The 23,009-nt window shown below is 39.8% G+C and overlaps 1 annotated feature.

Moving 5' to 3' along the window:
- Nucleotides 12,854-13,684: an enhancer, noted in NCBI's record as "OCT4-NANOG-H3K27ac-H3K4me1 hESC enhancer chr16:26188562-26189392 (GRCh37/hg19 assembly coordinates)". NCBI's record gives its function as "activates a minimal SCP1, AML or CMV promoter by ChIP-STARR-seq in naive and primed H9 embryonic stem cells {active_cell/tissue: H9 hESC(naive and primed)}" and the evidence as "EXISTENCE:reporter gene assay evidence [ECO:0000049][PMID:30033119]".

Raw genomic sequence — 23,009 nt, 5'->3', positions numbered from 1 at the left:
AACCTGCCTCCTAACCATCTAATTCAACTGCTATAATATGCTTATATTTTTTCTTAACTCTGAACAGCCTTTTTGTTTCCTGCTTAGTCACATACCTTTCTTAGTCTCATACTAAGCTCAAGATCCACAAGTCACAAGTTCAACACGTTGGTTATGTATTTTTTTCTAAAATGCGTTAAAACAAACATAATTACTGCAATAAAAAGGATCATCATTAAATCGGCTTATCTACCTACAGAGACATGAGCACGCTACTTTAGGAAATTCTGTTGGGCAGGCAGGTCCCTCTTCTTTGGTTGATTATCCTGCACTCATACCGACTCTTCCACCTGCTTGGTGAGTAAATTTTGGTTTCCTCTTACTTTTGTGTGCTGAAGCTCTCTTAGACTTTTTCTCCTGTAAAATGAGAATTTGAACATTTGCCCTTGTGAGAGAGGATAAGGGAGGGAGATAAGATTTAAATGAGAAACATCACGAAAACAGCTAGTAGTACGCTTGTGTGAGATATATCTTTCCTCATAACAGATCTGCAAGATACACATTCCCATTTAAAAGCAGAGAAATAGAATCTGAGGAGCTAAGAAACATATCTACAGTGACACAGCTGGTAAGTCAAATAGTCAGGACTTGAATCCAAGTCTGATTATATCCAAAATTTGTATTCTTTATTATTACCAACTTTTATGTTCTCATCCTTTAGTTATTTTTTAATTGTACAAATGAGTTCATTTCAGCTGTGTTCCATACACTGACCTAGGCACTAAACAGAAAATAATAAGCTATGTGCACTTCCTTCGGGGAGGGCAAATTTAATGCCTGAGACAGAAAGATAATAAAATAATCACAAGGTTGAGTGGTAAATCCTGTAGATGAGTTTGTCACAGGATATTTTAGGGCCCAGAGGTGCTGGCTGAGCTGTCAGGACTAGAGTTTTCATCCTAGGCTGGACGTCAGATGGTCTTTACCAGGGCAGGGGCCATGGGGGGCTCCTTCACCCTCACGAAGACAGGCTCTTGGACAAGTGTCAGGCAAGGGAATTGCCAGCTTTGTTTCGACTCAGTATCTCACAGGGGCCATGCATTCAGCAAAGGCAGGGAGCTGATGACCTGTCTGTAGAGAAGAAGCTTTCTCACAGTGAGCAGGAATGTTGTGGTCCTTGTGATCTGAGCGACCAAAATAGACTCCCATTTATCAACTAAGACAAACCCTGAGGTTAAGGAAACAAAAAGTTCCCTACAGCTAGAGGGTTCAGGACTTGGCGGGCATGGCAAATTTCTAAATTCCTTTGGTAACAAGAAAAACCACACTCTCGCGGAACTCCCTAATAATCAGACCTATCAGGCACATTATCAGACCCCTCTTAACTCTGATTTATAGCCCAGACCACTGTGACTCTGATTGGACAGAGGATCGGCCTTTTAAACATTCTTTTCTGATAAGCAACTGCAGACCTTAAGCCAGTTTCAGCAGCTTATACAGGCTGTGCACAAACTATCTTTGTGTCCTGTAGTTCACCTTTTGACATAATGGGCCAAATTTAACCTCACTTTTATACTAAAACCCCATGCCAAAGTGAATATGGGATGTATATTATGTATACGTTTACTCACTGCACATGCGCTCAACTCCTCTCATAAATACCTATAGCTTCTCCCCCAAGTCTGCTGAATATGTAGAACTCTTTTGTGTAATACAGACCCTGTGAGACATTAAAACCCAACCTGCCCTTCCCCTTGGAAGAAAGAGACTGGAGATTGTCTCTTCCTGGTTTGCAAACTGATATCATCAATAAAGCTCTCCTTTCTTCTATTTAGCCACACTGGTGGTCTTTTGGACAACATCCTTCTAATTTGTTCATCTAGGCACACATTCACTGTAGGCTTGCATTATGCCTGGCCCTTGGCTGGATGCTGCAGTCTCAGAGATGCCGTGGGGATCTCATAGCAAAGCACTGCACAGATAACACTGAGGCTGCAGGTGTCTTCTGAGGCCAGGTTGTAAAGGTCCTGACCTCCAGACTGTGGAATGAGGGCATATCTTATAGGGAATTAGAGCTATCAAAGGCTGTTAAACAGAAATTGGTCATGAGCAGCAGCTCTATCCTTCCCAAAGATTGCTGTGGGAGAATTAAGGAAAATGGAGACACACAAGGTGGAAGCCTAGGGGTCAGTGAGCTCAGACCTTGGCAAATTCACCTGTCTCAACACCTTCAAAAACTGGCAAAGTTTGATTGTGAGAAAGAGAGCGAATTCATGTTTTTTTTACTCAGAGAAAGAACAAGGAGTTGAAAAATACATGTGAAAAATCACATCTTTTTCCAGTTGCAACTGATAGAAATGCAACTAAAACTAACTGTGGCTGAAAGGGATTCTTTGTTCATGTAACTAAAAAGCTCAGGGATAATTCAACTTTGAACCAAGCTTAATTCAAAGACTCAGACAATATCTTCAAGAATCTGACAATGTCTACCCTGTTTTCCTCTTTATTAGGCCCATTTTAGGTAGATATTTTCTTTATGTTGACGAGATAGTTTCCAGTAGTTCCAGATCTACTGTCTTCTCTGAACCTCCATTAGGAAAAGGAATTCTGTCCTCTAATGTTTCAAAGACAGTTCTCAGAACCAATTCTCATTTGTGTAGTCAACCCCACTTAAACCAAATATCCTGGGGGAACAGGGGAGAAATAGTTCCAGAAGGAAAAACAGAGTCATGTTTTTTGTTTGGTTTGGTTTTTTTGGTTTGTTTTTTACTTAAAGAAAAGAAAATGGATCACAGGAGAGTAAAATCAATAGATGTACACTCTAATGAAGCCCACATTCTATTGACAGCCTGGTTCTAAGTCGGTGATTCTCTATCAAGGGCAGTTTTGCCTCTCAGGGGACATTGAGCAATATCTGAAGACAATTTTAATTGTCACAACTTGAGATAGTGATGTTACTAGAATTTAGAGAGGAGAGGCCAGGGATGCTGCTTTGCATCCCAGGAAGCATGGTGCATTCCCTTGCAATAAATTGTATCCCACCCATCAATGGTGCTGAGGTCAAAAGTCCCTGGTCTAAGTGATGAGTTGCCTTGGACAGTAGGGAATTCCCCTTTAGGATAGGTGTTTAAGCAGAGACCACTTGGCTGTTCGTTTGCCAATGCTGTATTAAGATGTCAAGGTCTGATGAAAGGTTAGACGATACTAATGGAAGTTTAGACTTTACTGGAATCTTTAATCTCTTAGTTCCTCTTTGGCATGACGTATAGACTGCAAGGATCCTACAAGTAGCAGGTTATGTACAATTCCTATGGAGCTACCTGTAATTTCTCTTTCTCTGTCCTATTCAAGAAAGCATACCCTACGTCTATTTAAACTACATATTTTCTCTGCTCTCACATATACACTGATTCTGATAGGCTCTTCCTCACAAAGGAAGCATTCTCACCAACCAAACTTGGGAATCACTAACTTATTATCACAAGGTCTCATCTAGTCTTGATGTTTGATTATTCCAGGCATCGGGGCCTTAAAAAAGAAGAATGATTTATGGTAAAAGGCTTAACAAGGGGAGACTGCAGGGGCCCAGGACTGTTCATTCATTCAACAAAAATTACTTAGCACGATGTGTTAGTTCATTTTGCATTACGAAAAAGAAATGCGACTGGGTAATTTATAAAGAAAAGAGATTTATTTGGTTCATGGGTCTGCAGACTGTACAAGCATGGCACCAGCATCTGCTTACTTTCTGGTGAGCCCTCAGAAAGCTTTTATTTGTGAAAGAATGTGAAGGGCGAGCAGGTGTGTCACATGGCATGAGTAGGAACAAGAGAGAGAATGAGGGATGTTAAGCATGTGGCTCCCTTTTTACAAGCAGCTTTCGTGTGCATTTATAGCTTGAGAACTTAATAATACCAAGAGGACAGCACCAAGACATTTATGACAGATCTGCTCTCATGACCCAAACACCACCCACCAGGTCCATCTGCAACCCTGGGGATTACATTTCAACGTGAGATTTGAAGGGGACAAACAGCCAAACCTTGTCTTATGATTTATGTGTCATGCTATCCTAGGTCCTGTGGAAAAAAAAATACTTATGTACCCTGCCCTCATCAGGTTTCACAGGAGAAAAATATGAAACAAATAAAAATAATAATGACAAACAGGATGATCAGTGTTTTGATAAAGTTGTATTAAAATATGCTGTGAAAACACAGACTAAGGTCACCTAACCCACCATTATGTTGAAGGGAGATTCCAGGGAAGAGGCATTTATGCTGGGGGTATGCAAGACTTATCCAGGGTAATGAAGTAGAAGGGCCAGACAGAAGAAGCAGCAGGAAAAAATGGCTCAAAGGTGAGAAAGATCCCAGTGGTGAGTTTGCCAGCTTCCAAATCTGCACGACATTGAGACAGGCTGGAGAGAAGAAGGTGCTGGATTTCCTGGCTCTCTGGTGAGCTGCTCAGGATCCCAGTTGGAAGCCTGACCCATCTGTCTTGACATTTCCCTCTCTCCAGAACTGAGTAATTTCCCACTCACTCCTGGGGTGACATGTTTTCTTCTCCAAAACCATGATCTGTAAAATTAGATATCTCAAGGAGCAAGTCTCTCTGAAGGGAAGAAGGCATGTTCTGAGCCCAGGCTGGAAGATGTGAGTGTGTTTCCATCTTCTGCCAGGAGAGTTGGACTGAGCACAGACACTGCAATTGCCAGAGACATTTGGAAGTAAATAAAGGATGTGAAAGACACTGGGTTCTAGTAATGGGATGGGCTTCCATCTCTCATTCCCTGAGTATAAGAAAACTCAGACAGCTAGGGAGTGGGGTGGACCAGCAATAAATAGAGACCTGAATATTGCAGAATCTTAATACAGCACGTGAGACTTTTGATGACCCAATTCCTCTTTGGTTCTTTCTTTTTTTTCTTTTCTTTTTTTGAGATGGATCCTTGCTCTGTTGCCTAGACTGGAGTGCAATGGCGCAATCTCAGCTCACTTCAACCTCTGCCTCCTGGGTTCAAGCCATTCTCCTGCCTCAGCCTCCCAGGTAGGTGGGATTACAGGTGCCCACCACCATGCCTGGATAATTTTTGTATTTTTAGTAGAGACGGAGCTTCACCATGTTGGCCAGGGTAGTCTTGAACTCCTGACCTCAGGTGATCTACCCACCTCAGCCTCTCAAAGTGCTGGGATTATAGGCGTGAGCTATCTCGCCCAGGCTCCTCTTTGGTTCTTTAAGCTCTTTGCCACTGTCACTATCCCCAGCCACACTGACATCCTTTTACTTTCTTTAAGTTGCCATATCATCTCTTAATTCCAAGGCTTGTTTATCATGTGCAAGAAATATTAGACTATTCTTTCACTGTGACCTTCCCAAACCAACTCAACTCAATGCTATAGACTTTCCTCGTCCAGACCATCACCTTAAAGGAGATTATATTTTCTCTGCTTATCCATACTACAAGCTACTCATCTTTATTTCGCAGCACTAAAGTTGCTTTAAAAATTATCTACCTGTCAGGCATGGTGGCTTACGCCTGTAATCCTAGCACTTTGGGAGGCCAAGGCAGACATATCACCTGAGGTCAGGAGTTTGAGACCAGCCTGGCCAACATGATGAAACCCCGTCTCTACTAAAAATACAAAAATTAGCCAGGCGTGGTGGCGGGCGCCTGTAATTCCAGCTACTGGCGAGTCCAGGGCACGAGAATCACTTGGACCCAGGAGGTGGAGTTTGCAATGAGCCAAGGTTACACCGCTGCACTCCGGCCTGGGCAATACAGTGAGACTCCAAATCAAAAAAAAAAAAAAATTTTCCACCTATCCTGCTAGTGTATGCATTATTCTACAAAAACAGGATTATGTGTATCTGGCAAGTAATAAGGTGACTTGTATACATTTTCAGTAAACATTTGATGAACAAACAAGTGAATTAATGAATGAATGAAAATGTGAAAGAAAATTGAGAGCTAAAATAAGCCACACTCTCATCTTCCATATGAGAAACTGAAAAACAACTAGTAAGTGAAAGCCGAGACCCAGACCTGCTCGTTTCTACCTAGGCCAAAGCAATTTCTGCTACAGCATTATAAATTGAGTACAGGAAAAGAACTCCCAGGAAATTGTTATAGGAGGTTTCTTTTGGCAGGTGAATGAGGGGGTGGATGGTTTCTAACAATGGAAATCTGAAAACCTTGAGGCTATGAAATGAAGACCCAAAGAAGTTACTGTGGGCTACACCTGTTTCTGGTGTTTGGAGAGGCTTCTTTTGAGGACTATTCATCCAGCTCTCTATCTCTGTTGGTGTTTGACTCTCATGACCTTCCCATTCTTGTTTTATTCTGAACAGAAGCCATCCCCCACCCAGCATCCACTCATGAAATCTTTTTCTGCCTAAGGCACAGAATACTTCTGCAGCCCCAGCCCTCGAGGTTTCCACTCTGAGAAAAGTCATTTTCACACACGTTAGACAAAAATATGTCCTTCTATCAATTCATCTTTTTTTGGAAACTGTATCAGATGTAAATAGAGTGAGTAATAAACCTTGGTTGGACTGAAACACTAAGATTTCAAGTTTTTCTGTTGCATCAGCTAACATCAATTATTCTGACTACTGAACATGATACAAAACTGAAATCAACTTATTTAATTCTGAAGAGCTTATGAACAATCTGTAGAAGCTAGTCAGAGATTGCTTTCCAGAGTGATTCAAGCTAAACTTTGAAGAATGAACAGAAGTTTTGCAGACAGAAAAGAAAGAATGTGCATACGTCTGTGGTCCCTAAAGGTAGGGCCGAAGTGAACTGTAATGGTAAGCAAATTTTTCTGCCCAAGGAATAATAAGGAAATAAGATAAATCAATGTATCAAAAAATTATTTCATCATATAAGAAAATTCAACATGTGCAAATCTCCTTGATGATTTATTTAACCCTCTCCCATCTTTCAGAGATTTTTATTTTCATTTTACATGAAAAGTTTTATTGAGGTGAAATTCGCATAGCATATAATTAGCCTTTTAAAGTATACAAGTCAGTGATAGTTGGCATATTTATAATGATATGCAACCAGGGGCTCTCTTCAGTTTCAAAACTTTTTTATCATCCATTGAATACCATAAATTCATTAAGTAATTATTCCCCACTCCCCTCCCCTTATACTCTGGTAAACTCTAATCTGCTTTATATCTCTTTGGGTTTGACTAAAGGTTTAATATCCAGAATATATAAAGAACTTTTACAACTCAACAACAAAGAGACAATCTAATTTTTAAAATGGATAAAAGAATAGACATTTCTCCAAGGAAGATACACAAATGGTCAACAAGCATATAAGAAGATGCTCAATGTCATTGGTTATTAAGAAACTGCAGGGCCGGGCACGGTGTCTCACGGCTATAATCCCAGCACTTTGGGAGGCCAAGGCAGGCAGACCATGAGGTCAGGAGATCGAGACCATCCTGGCTAACACGGTGAAACCCCGTCTCTACTAAAAATACAAAAAATTAGCTGGGCGTGGTGGCACGTGTGTGTAATCCCAGCTACTTGGGAGGCTGAGGCAGGAGAATCGCTTGAACCAGGGAGTCAGAGGTTGCAGAGAACCGAGATCATGCCACTGCACTCCATCCTGGTGATAGGGCAAGACTCCATCTAAAAAGAAAAAAAGTAAAAAGAAACTGCAAATCAAAGTGGTGAGATACCATTTCATACCCACTATGATGAATTTAATTTTTAAAAACGAAAGGAAATGACAAGTGTGTAGAAAGACAGAACAAAAGAGTAACCTTTGTACATAGCTGATAGGAAAGTAAAATAGTACAGCAAATAGTTTAGCAGTTTCTCAAAAAGTTAAACATAAGTTTACTGTGTTACCCAGAACTTCCACTTTCAGGTATATGCCCAAGAACAATAAAAACATGCTTACACAGAAATGTACATGGATATTTATAATAGCATTATTCCTAATAGCCAAAATGTGGAAACAACTCAAATGTCCATCTTTTCTGTGACGGTCAGATACTTAAGTGCAAAACAAGGTTTGTTCCAACTTTCAGTATTGCCTTATTTTGCAAGCAAAGCAAATGGTAATACTTTTGGCACAAGGATGTAATCCTCAATATACTTTCAATTAGACTTTGCTTCATTGGTTATATTTCTTTTATAGACATTAATCCTAACAACAATATATTTAGAAAATAACCTTCATCTGTTCTCCTATCTCAGACAAGAATAGCGCTTCACCTTTCCCAGCAGAGATTTTCTTATTATAGGGTGGAACATACAGGCTATTAGTCCTTGTATTAACGTATCTAGGGTTTAATCATGGCTCTCAGGTTGTATGTCCTCTAGCCCCTAACTACTGCTCAAATTCATCTGGTTCCTTTCTAGCCTTTGCTCAATATTCCCCAAATACTTTGGGTTCCTGGGTCAATGCAAGCTCAGTTCCATTTCGAGTCCTTTGTATCTGCCAGGAGTAGCCTTCTTCTTGCTATTCTTATAGGTTCTTCTCCTTATTCAGGACTCAGCTCACTTATGAAGTCAAAAAATTCTTCCCTGACTGCTTTACCCACCATTGCCTTCATCCCACATCATTCTCTCTTACTTCATTATGTTCAATCTCCTATACGAAATTTAGCACTCTCTGCAGTTACCTTGTTGAATTGTGTTTGTTTACTTCTTAATTTTCTGCCTCCCTATACTAGAATGTGTGTTCCATGGGGACAACAGTCTTCTTTACTGGTCTGTCTCCAGTGGTGGCACACTGTGCTCCCAATAAATATCTGCTGAACTGGTAAAATAATTATGTTACCACTTATCTGGACACCTACCGGGAAGTTGGGAAGTCTAGAAGCTTTTCAAAGGAGGTGTCATTTGACAAGTTCCTTTAAAGACGAGTACAATCCAAGGGATAGAAATGAATGCAAAAACTCAGAGGAGGAAATTAGCATTGACGGGTACATGTCTGGCGAGTCCTGAGAAGTTCCTGGTAACTTGAGTATAGTAATTGCCATGTGCCAAGCACTTTACCAACACTATCTCAATTAATCCTCATAATAATGATACAAACATGGACATACTAACATTACCATGTTCTAAATGAGAAACAGATTCTCTGATTAAACAAAAAACAAACCTGTACAAAGTGGCACAATGGTCATGTGTCAGAAGTGGGATCCACGCCCTGTGCTTCTGCGTGCTGTGCTTTGCTGACACAATGAGTAGAGGGAGTCAGAGATGGCAATAGGAAGTTGGGAAAAGCCATGTAGTTGAAGTCATTGTATGCCAAGACAAAAAGCTTGGATACAATTCTATTGGAATTGAGGATTGTTTCAAGGTAGGGAAAAGATGACTAGATTTGCATTTTAGTCACATTATTGTGTAACGTGAGATGGGTGGGAGAGATAAAGTTAAGATCTAAAGAAGACAGAAAGTCTAGAAAAGGGACTATAACAGTTTTGACCAAAATAGTGATACTGAAGATAGTGAAGAGAGTGTGGATTTATGTGATATTGGGGGGGGTTTAGAATCATCAACAGGATATAGAAGCTAGGTAGATAAATGGTGAAACGACCTTCCAAAGAGAGGAAAAATAAAGATGCTCAGGCTCTAAGTTTCAGAGTTTAACACACAGCATGGAACAGAACATCTGGTCTGGTTCTTCCTTTCCATAAAAGGCAGAGCCAAACTATCACAGGTCCAGTGGAGTCTGCAAAGCCTGTTATTTCAACTCCGAGGTGCCATCCTCCTGCTTGCTCAAGGCACACTCTCTCCTTTCTCACTTGCTCAGTTAATCATAGTGTCCAGCCTATTCTACCTCCCCTTAAACCTCCTGAATCTCTCCACACCTCTCAGTTTCCATACTACTTCCCCAGACAGCCACTATCACCTCCTCCTGGACTGAGAGGCCTCCTCGCACCCTCTCTTGATGCTGTCAAGATTAACACCTTTCTAGAGTTTCTTACCCCGAATCTGTAAGATGACGTGTAAGGACTTGCATAATCTCTGTGTTTGATTCTGCCTACTCCTCCAGCTAATCTTGATTTGTAACTTTTTATTTTAGTATTTTCATATAACAAATTTATAGAAAAGTTGTAAGAATACTACATGGAACTCCCATATTCTCCTGCCTTGGATTCATCAGTTTTTTTCCATTATCTTAGAAAGAAGCATAGGATTAGTTAGATGGAAACATCTTGTCCCTTACAAGACTAACTTGCTCAGAATCATAGGAACACACTGAAAGGACAAAGAAAGCAGTTTAAAGGGACAACCTCTGGTCAAATGAGGTTTTGAAAATCAGAAAAAACAATTTGTTTTTGTTTTTTTTTGAGACGGAGTCTCACTCTGTCGCCCAGGCTAGAGTGCAGTGGCGCAATCTTGGCTCTCTGCAAGCTCCGCTTCCTGGGTTCATGCCATTCTCCTGCCTCAGCCTCCCAAGTAGCTGGGACTACAGGTGCCCGCCACCACACCCGGCTAATTTTTTAGTAGAGACGGGGTTTCACTGTGTTAGCCAGCTTGCTCTCGATCTCCTGACCTGATGATCCGCCCGCCTCGGCCTCCCAAAGTGCTGGGATCACAGGCGTGAGCCACCGCACCCGGCCAAACAATTTGTTTTATCATTTGATTTATCATTTCTTTTTAATTAATGGATGGGTAGATGGACAGATGTAGAGATACACTTTTTTGTAAGACATGCTATGTATTCTCAGTCCGTATTACTAAGAACATCATGATTCTCTTACATAGCCAACTATCAAAATCAGAAATTTTGATACAAATTCAATATCATTAAGTAATGCACAATTCATAATGCTATTCATATTCAAAATTTGTTAATTGTCTCAATAATATCTTATTAAGCTATTTAAATTTCCTAGTCTAGGATCCACTCCAGAATTGCACATGGAATTTACTTGTGTGTGTCTCTTTCAGTCTCCTTTAATCAAGACTGTTCTGTGCCTTTCTTTGTCTTTTTTGACACTGACATTTGTGAAGAGTGAAGGTCAGTTATTTTGTAGAATGTCCCTCAATTTGAGTTTACCTGATATTTCTTCACAACTAAATCTGAGTTAAGAATTCTGGCAGAAACTCCATGGAGATGATGTTGCATTCTTCTCAGTGCATTATATCATTAAGAGACCCATGATGTCAGGTTGTCCCAATATCTGTGATGCTAACTTTGATCAACTGGTTAAAGTGGTATTACTAAATCTACCCATTACAAAGTTTCTATTTTTCCTTTTGCTATTAATAAGTATCCTGTAGGAAGATAAATAAACATCCTGTTCCCCATAAAACCCAAAATAAAAGTATCTCATCAATAATTTTCTAACTCCATCATTTCTTCTGTATTTGTTAGTGGCATTCTTTTATAAGGAAGAGCCACCTCTTCCTCCAGTACTTACTTATGTATTGATTCATCAATTTGTAACAAAACTGATTCATTGATTTTTATTTCATTTGATGGATTAGGATACATTTTGACAGCATTTATGCTTGGGAATAAATTGCCTCTGACTTGGCCAGAGGTTGTACCTTCTTTGTCCTTTTAGTGTGTCCCTATGATTCCAAGCAAGTTATTCTTTTTTTTTTTTTTTTTTTTTTTGTGAGATGGAGTCTTACTCTGTTGCCAGGCTGGAGTGCATTGGTGCAATCTTGGCTCACTGCAACCTCCGCCTCCTGGGTTCAAGTGGTTCCCCTGCCTCAGCCTCCTGAGTAGCTGGGACTACAGACATGAACCACCACGCCCGGCTAATTTTTTTTTTTTTTTTTGTATTTTAGTAGAAACAGGGTTTCGCCATGTTGACCAGGATAGTCCTGATCTCCTGACCTCGTGATCCACCCACCTTGGCCTTCCAAAGTGCTGGGATTACAGGCATGAGCCACCGCACCTGGCTGCAAGTTATTCTTGAAAGGGACAAGATGTTTCCATCTAGCTAATGCTATGCTTCTTTCTAAGACAATCTCTTATCCTGCCATAATGGATTTTCCCCCTATTCTTTAAGTAGTACAAGCTCTTCCTTCTGCTTTTAGTCTCTTGGACGTGTTTTTCTAGTTGTCCACACCATCTTTTCCTCTCATTATGTCTACCTGATACTCAGTAACAATATGACAACTATTGTTGACTAAATGAATAAAAAATGTCAAGAAAGGAAGCAGTTTTTTTAATGTGGATTCAGAAGACAGAAATATGGACACAGGTAAGTGGCAGGATTCTGCTCCAAACAACAGGGAACTTGGAAAAGCATTAAACCAGTGCTTTTTACCTTCTGCCAGTGATATTACCAAGAGGAAACCTGCTCTGTGCGAGGAAGGAAGAAATGGACTGATGGCCTTTGAGGTTTCTTCGTATTCTGAGAACCCATAACTCATCTATTCTACAAAGTGTCTTTGGGCAGAGACATTCCTAGCGTATCTTAGAGCTCAGCATGTGGGTGGATTGCTAGTCTTTTCTTCCAGCATTCTCACTAAGACGCCTGGGAAGTATGATGATTTGGAATGTGGATTTGCCTTAAGACTGTCTTCAGTTAGGAGGGGTTAACAAGCATGCTCAAAAGGAATTCAGTTATGGCAATTTATTCTTTCCAACCCTAGAAGGCATCATGATGCAATGACGTGCCTTCCGGCATTGAGAAAGGTTCCAATCACTAACAATCTCTTGCCCTAGGAATCGGGATGGAATAGAACTAGTAGCTGGTAAAGTGAGATTGTCCTTTTGATTCCAGGTCTACTGGTTAAGGTATAGGGCTGGGTTAAGATGAGAATCCTGATGGACGCAGTGGCTCACCCCTGTAGTCCCAGCACTTTGGGAGGCTGAGGCGGGTGGATCACCTGAGGTCTGGAGTTCAAGACCAGCCTGGGCAACGTGGTGAAACCCCATTTCTACTAAAAATACAAAGAAATAGCCAGGCATGGTGGAAGGCACCTGTAATCCCAGCTACTCAGGAGACTGAGGCAGGAGGACCGCTTGACCCCCGAGGGGTGGAGGTTGCAGTGAGCCGAGATTGTGCCATTGCACTCTGGCCTGCGAAACAAGAGCAAAACTCCATCTCAAAAAAAAAAAAAAAAAAAAAAAGAGAGAGAGAGAACCTAGCTTACCTACTCAATAAGTGTGGGAAATTTATAATATTCCAAGACAGTGAACCTCAATTTTTTCATCCAAAAGATGGGGAAATAAAGCCTGTCTATTTAGGAACATGGTAAGGATGAAAGGAGATAATTTTGGTGAAAGGATTAGCAAAGAGCAGGCCACCTAGTAAGTGCTCAATATGTAAATCATTGCTATTGTTATATAAATGGCATTAAGCTGTTTGGGCTGGCTCTCTACACCTGTTTCACTGAATACTAATAACACTTATCTCACATGGTTTTGTTGAAGATTCCTTGCACTGTGGCACGTACAAGTTCCTAGCATACTGACACATTCTAAGGAAATGCTCTGATGTGCTGGTTAAAATTTAATCTGATATGCAGCAACCTATACAAGAGGAAAGTTTAGGTTTTAGCAATGTGATGTTCTTTTAATTAAATTCTCAGACCAAAGATTAGCAAAATATATTTTTTTCATGTAGCTTTTCCATTTACAAATTTACAGCAGACAGGAGTTAATTGAAAAATACTTCTTTCTATTTGGTTTCCAAAATAAGCAAACAGCTAAAAAGGCTGTGACATTTTTGAATATTTCACATCAAAATGGAAAAGTATTTTTTTCATGCAAAGTGCTTTGGGCTTCTTGTTTTTACTAATGAGACTGTATGGGTGATAGGAATTGCTTCTGTGCAAATCCAGGGCTGATCTGTTCTAACCTACTTCTTCCTGTTTTTTTGGACCTACTCTGTGCACACAGATTGCCCTGGATAATTCAACAGACAACTTGAAATTATACTTTAGGTTCTATATGTCAGTGTGGATGCCATATGTACTTTAGATCTGATGTAATCCTTTCCCCTTCAGCAACATTTTGCATGATTTATCACCAGCCTGGAGTGCCCACTGTCATTGCCACTTGACTGATTTCTTGTCCTCCTGAAAAACCACTACTGTTTCAAATCCAGGCTCAAACAACTACTGTCTGTCTCTCTGGTTTATCAAACTAAGTAAGAAATCTAACTCTACTGTTTGAATGGTCAGGAGAGATTAGTGGAATTACCAAGAATAGTGATAAATCTATATTAGAAAATGGGAAAGGGGACAGGAAGTTTGTGTTGGTGGTGACATAAGAGAGCTAACTCACGCTCTCTCACAGTAGGAAGTCAATCACAATGCGTAAAGTTGGTACATCAAAAAATTATAGAATGAGGGTATTATTACGGAGATAACCACCAAGAGAATGGAGAAAAGAAATAGTTAAAAGTGAAGGCAACATGAGAAAAAAAGTTCAGCAATCATTGTTGTTTCTTTTTATGAACTCTCCTATTATTTTATATCTATTTTCATCTATTGTTTTGATAAGATAAAGGAAATGAAATCACTACTTTTGTGTTCTGGGTGGTCACTCCTGTATGCCTAGATATTATAACACAATGTCTAGAATTATGGGTTTTTTTTTTTAAATCTTTATCTCTTTTGTTAAACTGTGAGTGCCTCAGGGGCAGGTCCTATTGCATAATTTTCTCAGTAGCCCTAATGGGTTCAGCACATAGCTAATCTACAGAAGAAGGTTGTTGAATAAATTCCAGGGTATGGAGGTTATGGAAAGGAAGTGAAACTGACATGAAGCTTACACTTAAGAAGGTAATTAAGTCATCATACTAGTGCAACAACAAACTGACATCAGTGCCCTGAAGGAAACGTACACCGTGCAGGAGACCGTGGGAAGAAGGACCACTGAGTTAGAATAGTGGGGGTGGCAGGAAGGTCAGGGAGGTTGGGAGGCCTTTCTTAAGGAAATGATGCCTGTGCTGAAAGCTGAAGTACTGATAACAGGTTTTAAGGGGTGAAAATGAATAGAATCTACTCACGTACAAGAAGGGAATAAAGAAAAGGACACTAGTTTAGGCTTGACATTCTGTTCGTGTTGCAACTTCAAGCCTTAAGACACAGAACAGGAGGCTTCAGCCAGATGTTTACTGAGTTCAAGCCAGAAAGAGATTCAGAAGCCACGCATCATGAACAGCGACTCTATTAACAAAAAAAATGTACCATTTCAAAAATGTTGAAATAGAAAGGGGGCTGGTATAGGAAATGGTATGAAATGCATCACGAATGCCATTCACAGAAAGGGGAAGGGAAGAGGTGCTTACAGCTGAGTATGTTGTTATGTCTCCCATTTAAGAACAAAACAAAAGAAAAATATGTTTTGATGCCACTTCTCCTGCCAGCTCCTGTTCTTTTTCTTTAGCTATTACGTAGTTTTCTACAATTTCGGTCTATAATTCTTCTCTTTCTTTTCTCTGTTAAGCTTGCTCCTCAAAAACTGCTCTTTTCCAAATCACTAGTGACCTTTAAGTTGCCAAATCCTGTGACAAATTCTTGGTCTCATCACAAATAAGCTATCAGGTGCCTTCACGTTGTTGTTCATTCCCTCCCCCTGGACATGCTTTCTTCACTTGACTTTCCTGGCTTTGCCCGATCTCCTTGGTTACTCTTTCTCAGTTTATTTTGTAGTTCTTCTTTCCCTAGCTTATTAATATTGGCATGCCAAGTCCAAGAGTCCTTGCACCTCTTCTCTTCTCATGTTCACACACTCACTCAGTGTCACATTCAATCTCATGACTTTCCCTAGTGATTCCAGTTTTGAATCTACTGCTGAGAATTCATTTCTAATCTTTAGACTCCTAAATCATGCTGCTTATGCAGCATTTCTGCTAGGACGTCTAAAAGACATCTCAAACTTACCATGTCCAGAGCTAAAATCTTGACTTGCCCAAATCATATTCCAACCACAACCTTCCCCAACTCATGTGAGGGCAACTCTATTCTTCCAGTTCCAAAAGCCTGAAATCTTGACATCACCCTTCTTATGTACACCCCCATCATCTCTTACTGAAAATCCTGTTTGCTTCACTTCCTGTATATATCTGGAATCTGATTACCATTCTAGAATGAGCAACCACTATCTCTTTTCTAGATTATTATAGGAGGTTTCTAACAGTTCTCCTTGCTTATAATCATTGATCCTATCAGTCTATTCTGAAAAACAGCAGCATTATCATCTTAAAATATAACTTAAAGAAGGAATGGTAATTATCTTACAAAAATTACTTCAGGAAATAGATGAGTGAACAATTCTCAATACACTATATGAAGTCAGAGTTACTCTGACACCAAAATCTGACAACTTTATGATAAAATTGCAGACCAATATTCATGATAACATAAACACAAAGATCCACTGAGAAATCAACAAATTAAATCCAATAATATATGAAAAAGATAGTGCATCATAACCAAGCAGGGTTTACTCCAGGAACACAAAATTGACTTAACATTCCAAAATCTATTAATAATATTAATCATAATGAAAGGATAAATGTGAAAAGTACATGTAATCATTTTAATAAATGAAAAATAATTTGACAAAATCTAACATTCATTTGTAATTAAGAAAAACTCTCAGCAAGTTATGAATAAAAGAAAACATCATCAACCTAATAGATGGGACCTATGTAAAACCTTCAGTGAACATTCTTAATTTTGAAATACTGAGTGCTTTCCTTCTGAGTTAAAGAACAAGACAAGGATATTTGCTCAAATCACTTCTATTTAGTACTATACTAGATCCAGTCCAATAAGGCAAGAAAAATATAAAGATATTCTTATTGAAAAGAGGAAAAAAACAATTTTATTTGTCAGCTGTAGAAAATCCTAAGGAATCCTTAAAACAATTACTAAAACTAAAAATTAAATGTAGCAGTTGCAGAATAAAATTTATTTTTAAAAATATATATATATTATTTATTTATTTTGAGACAGGGACTCACTCTGTCGCCTAGGCTGGAGTGCAGTGGTGCAACTTTGGCTCACTGCAACCTCTGACTCCAGGGCTCAGGCGATCCTCCGACCTCAGTTTCCCAAGTAGCTGAAACCACATGTGTGGTCTGCCATGTCTGGGTATTTTTTATAGGTTTATTTTGTAGAGATGGGATTTCACCATGTTGCCCAGGCTGGTCTCGAACTCCTGGCTCAAGCCATCTGCCCTCCTTAGCCTCCCAAAGTGCTAGGATTACAGGCATGAGCCACCATGTCTGGCCAGGATAAAATTTTGTATACAAAATTTAATTTTATTTTGGGATAGCAGCAGAAATTAGATGACAATAAAATTAGAACAACAATTTCATTTGTGTTAGTGCAAAAAACTTAAAAGACTCAACACTAATTTTAGCAAAGAATATGCAAGATTCTTCTCTGAAAACTATGGAACATTGCTAAAAGAAATTAAAGACAATGTAAATAAATGAAGAGGTATACCATGTTCATAAATGCAAAGACTCAAAATTGTTAATATTTTATTTATCTCCAAATATAATAGAGCTACATGTAAATGAAATCCCAATAAAAATCACAGTAGCTATTTTGTAGAAAGTGTCAAGCTGATTTTAAAACTTATATGAAAAAGTGAAGAAACTAGAATAGCCGAACGAATTTTGAAAAAAAAAAATTGGAGGACTTGTCCCACTTGATTTCAAGACTTAATATAAAACTATAATAAACAAGACAATGTGGTATTGTCAAAAAAACAGACATATGTATCAATGGAAGTAGACAGAAAATCCAGAAATAGAACACAACTACATGGTCAACCAATTTATGATGAAGTTGCAAATGCAAATTAATTAGGAAATGGTTGCCTTTTCAATAAATTGTGATGAACCAACTGGAAATCTATATGGAGGAAAATGAATATTGATCATTATCTAATGCCATATGCAAAAAATAAGATGCATAGTCCAAAATATAAAAGAAAAAACTATTAAACTTCTGGAACAAAACATAAGAAACAATTCTTTATGATCTTGGTTTGCACAAAGATGTCCTAGATAGAAGACAAGAACTCAAAATCTTGAGAAGCAGTGATTTAAAAGAACTGCTCATCTCAAACACTCAAAAAAAAATCACCTTCCAACTGGGGTTCCCAGACAGCTTAGGAAGCAGGTAGGCCTGAGATATAAATGCAGTGATCTTCAGAGAGATTTAAAGAAAATATCAGCCACCCCCCAATGTCTTTTCCACTTTCATCTTGTTCCCTGAAGGTGGAACTAAGACTACTTGGGGTTACACATGACTTCAGAGATAATGCTCTCCTAGTAAGTGTCCATTCGTTCAGTTCTGCTCAACAAATATTTAATTATGTCAATGTAGTGCTGGTGCTCTCCCAAACAAAGGTGAGGATGCACAAGAATCACCTGCACTGCTTGATAAATCACCAGTCGCAAGGCTCCATGCCAGACTTTCTGATACAGGAGATATGGGGTGGTCCCCAGTCATCTGCAATTCTAACACATTCAGGGGTGATACAATGACTAGTCTTGGAACTGCACTTAAACAACTATGGCTGTAAGTGAAGGATTAACAGCTTTTTCCTTTCTTCTTTCTTTTCTTTCCTTTCTTTCTTTCTTTCTTTCTTTCTTTCTTTCTTTCTTTCTTTCTTTCTTCTCTCTCTCTCTCTCTCTCTTTCTTTCTTTCTTTCTCTCGTCTTTCTTTCTGTCTTCTTTCTTCTTTCATTTTGAGATAAGGTCTCCCTCTGTCACTGAGGCTGAATTGCAGTGATGCAATCACAGTTCACTGCAGCCTCGACCTCCCAGGCTCAAGTGATCCTTCCACCTCAGCCTCCCAAGTAGCTGGGATCACAGGCATGCCACAACAACCAGATATATATATGAATATATATTAATATATATCTTAGTAGAGACGGAGTCTCGCTCTGTCGCCCAGGCTGGAGTGCAGTGGCACGATCTCGGCTCACTGCAAGCTCCGCCTCCCAGGTTCACGCCATTCTCCTGCCTCAGCCTCCCGAGTAGCTGGGACTACAGGCGCCCGCCACCACGCCCGGCTAATTTTTTGTATTTTTAGTAGAGACGGGGTTTCACCGTGTTAGCCAGGGTGGTCTCGATCTCCTGACCTCGTGATCCGCCGCCTCGGCCTCCCAAAGTGCTGGGATTACAGGCGTGAGCCACCGCGCCCGGCCAGGATCTCATTATTTCTTACCTGAGCTGGTAGCTCAACGCAGCATTGGTGTCATCTGCCACTAGGCTTTAGCCATCCATTCACTCACCAGGCATGATCTTTCTAAAACACCAATCTGATCATGTCACTCCTCTCATAAAATGCTTCAGTGGCTCTCCATTACCCTTAGGATAGACTGCAAACTCTCTAGACAGGCAATAAAGTCCCCTGCAATCTAGTTTCATCAGATCCCTCCCATCTCATGTCCTGCCATTTTTCTAAAGGAGCTCCTCTGCTTTAGCCACAAAGTACCTGGTGCCTCCTGATTGCCGGCATTGTGAATAGTCAAGCCACCATGGCTTTAAAGGGGCTATTTTCACCACTTAGAAAGCCAGGTCTGTGTGGCAAAGTCCTGCTAATTTTTCAGGACTCAAATCAGATGTTTATTCCCTTTGTCAAGCCATCCCCAAAAGCCTAGGATAATTCAGTCATAGTCAATTGATATTCAGACAATAATTCATTGTTTATGATCCTACTGAATCTTACACAACAGTCTCAGAGCTCTTCATACTGAGTCTGTTGTGTTAATCTGCATAGCTGCCTCCTGCACTAAACTATGAGAAATGGAAGGGAGGTTCAAGGTAATATAGCTCAGAGGTTGAGAGCTCACACTATGGTGTCATACAGGCTTTAATGGTGTCATACAGGTTTAAATCCAGGCTATATCACAGTCTGATCCTGGGGAGAGAAGTTATTTAACTTACTGTGCTTGAGGTATTTTTAATCTATGAAATGGGCACAACTGCAACCCATTTGGGTTCTTCCTATGATATGAATTAAGTGTAAAATGCTTAGCAATGCCATTTAGTGGTTTAGCATATAGTACACAGTAAGTGTACAAAGGTAATCCAATAAAAATGATGACCAAAGGCAGGTTTCATAATCACCCATCTTATCACTACAACACAGTGTTTGGAACAAAAGTGGCATGAATTATTGTTGAATGAATGAAGTAAGCGTTGTGTTAGGTTGTTCTTACCTTGCTATAAAGGAATACTGGGTAATTTATGAAGAAAAGAGGTTTAATTGGCTCAAGGTTCTGCAGGCTGTACAAGCATGGCGCTGCCATCTGTTCAGCTTCTCAGGGGCTCAGGGAGCTTTTACTCATGGTGGAAGAGAAAGTGGAAACAGGCATGCCACTTGGCAAGAACAGAAGCAAGAGAGAGTGCAAGGGGGGAGGTGCCATGCACTTTTTTTTTTTTTTTTTTGAGACAGAGTCTTGCCCTGTCACCAGGCTGGAGTGCAATGGTGTGATCTTGGCTCACTGCAACCTCCGCCTCCCTGGTTCAAGCGATCCTCCTGCCTCAGCCTCCTCAGTAGCTGGGATTACAGGCATGCACCACCATGCTTGGCTAATGTTTTCTATCTTTAGTAGAGACAGGGTTTCACCATGTTGACCAGGCTGGTCTCGAACTCTTGACCTCATGATCCACCCACTGCAGCCTCCCAAAGTGCTGGGATTACAGGCATGAGCCATTGTACCTGGCTGCCACACACTTTAAAACAATCAGCTCTCCAGAGAACTCACTTATCACCAAGGGGATGGCAATAAACCATTCATGAGGGATCTGCCCCCATGATCCAAACACCCCCAACAAGCCCCACCTCCAACACTAGAGATTACATTTAGATTTGGAGAAGACATCCAAACTATATCAGCATTCATAGGGATGTGCAGGGACTGACAGATATCCCTTCATTACTTCCTTTCTGTTCACAAGCTGGAATTTTGCCATCCAGCTTTGTGTTCCCCCAAATACATGGTCTGGGAGATTTGACGTCTTCCTGGTTGACCATTATTGAGCCCTGTCTGTGTTCCACTGTGCTAGACATGTGAGGTCAATGTGAATATCCCCATTTTCCAAAGAAGAAGACTGAGCTGCAGAGAAGGTGAGTCAGTAAATGGCACTGGAAGGGTCTGAACGAAGATCTGCCTGGTTCCAAATTCCACACTCTATCTCCTGCAGCCAGCAGCAGTGGTATTATTCCCAACTGGAAAGCTCTCCCAGGTTTCCTAGGCAGCCCTGGCATTCCTTTCCATAAAAAAGATTCAGAGGATAGTCCATTATGCCTATGCTGTTGCCTTGAAACATAAATACTCACTCACTGTGGAACTGTTTGTTATGAGGAATGCGCGGGCTGGAGAGAAGTGAGACATAAAATCATTATTTCATGCAGAAAGACATTGCCAAAGGGATAGAATTACTTACTATATTAATTCTGTCCTTCAGCCCCCAGCTCATCTCTCTGCATAATGACTTAGTCACAGAATGTATTGTTGGCAACATTTTGGGACATTTCCACTATGATTTTTGCAGAAGTTGAATAATCTAAGACTTCTCGTTTCATTTCTTTTCCCTCTAACTCTCTCCTCTTTTTTCTGCTGGTCTTTCAGCTCCAGAACTCCATCCCTCAGCCAACCCTATTTCTTCCCACTAACTGTCATTTCTTCCCACTAACTGTCATTCCTTCTACTACTCACACCCATGCCACCCTTAGTCCCCCTTCTCTTCCTGAAAACCCTTCTGCCAACCCTCAATTCCTCCCCATTCATTCTCCATCCACTAAACATCTACTTCTACGACAGAGTAGAGGGGCTCCCCATGGAAATTCTGTACTAGTCTTAAAATAAGTACCTTAGAGAAAGTGCTCATAGGTCATCATTTAAAATCATCATATAAAATCATCATATAAGTCATCCTTTAACATCAACACACAGACCCATCATATAGGACCATCAGAGAGAACCACACAATGGAACCATCATATAGAATCCCAGAGTTAGAATAACTAAGATAAGATGGTAGGAAGATAAACAGCATCTGTTTACCCCTGTATTTATATATTAATACAGCACTCTTAATGGCCAAGTCATACTTAATGACACAACAAGATTGACATTCCCATGTCCATCGGAAATTAAACAGCTTTCATCTGATAAGGAGTTGGAAGGTTCTGGTAAGGAGTGTGAAGCAGAACTGAACAAAAAGAGTTAAAACCACAATATCTCAACTTGGATTGCTGTTTGCTATCCCCTTGCCTCATTGCCTCACTTCGAAAGATTTATAGGCTAATTGCACCAGGTGCAGAGAGTTGTTACGTGGAAGAGGAATTTCCGTCATGGTCTGGCATGATCATGATTATCTAATGTGGTTCTACAATTCCTTTTAAATTAACAACAACTCTTACTAACACATGTTGAACACCTGGTGTGCTGCCAGCTGCTCTGAGAGATTTAGATTTATCATTTACCCCTCACAGGGTCCGTGAGAGGTAGCAGTGAACATGTCCAGTTTAAAGATGAGCAATGGAAGTTCAGAGAGGTGAACTAATTTCCCCAATATTACAAAGCCGTGGAATAGAAATAGCTATAATTGTTGTTAAGGAGGACACAAAATATTCAAGATCTACAAAAATTGTCACAAATATTTACTGAGTGTTCATACAAGTGGAATTGAGAAAACAGAGGCATTATGTTTTTATTTGGAAGAAGAAAATTTAAAAATATTAACTCTCCTAATTTATAGGTGTAAATGATTTTGATTAAACTAGCAATTTTTATGACTTGATGAAATAATTCTTACATTAAAAAAACAATCTGGAGTAGCTAGAAAAATGTTAATAATTAGTAAGAATAATGTATATTAATATATAAATACATTAATGTACTAATGTAATAATATCCTAATGAAAATATACTAACAACTTATACTATCAATAAAATTAATATATTTATTAAACAGTGTGGGAATGGATAGTTTGATCAAAGAAAAAGTAGAGCTAGCCCAGGAAGAGATCAAAACATATATAAAAATGTAAACTATAAAAAATATGACATTTCACATCCGTAGAAAAAGGAAAAGTCA

Source organism: Homo sapiens, chromosome 16, assembly GCF_000001405.40.
Source record: "Homo sapiens chromosome 16, GRCh38.p14 Primary Assembly".
Lineage (NCBI taxonomy): Eukaryota > Metazoa > Chordata > Mammalia > Primates > Hominidae > Homo > Homo sapiens.
The sequence above is the reverse complement of the archived record's forward strand: the minus strand, read 5'-3'. Positions and strand labels throughout refer to the sequence as shown.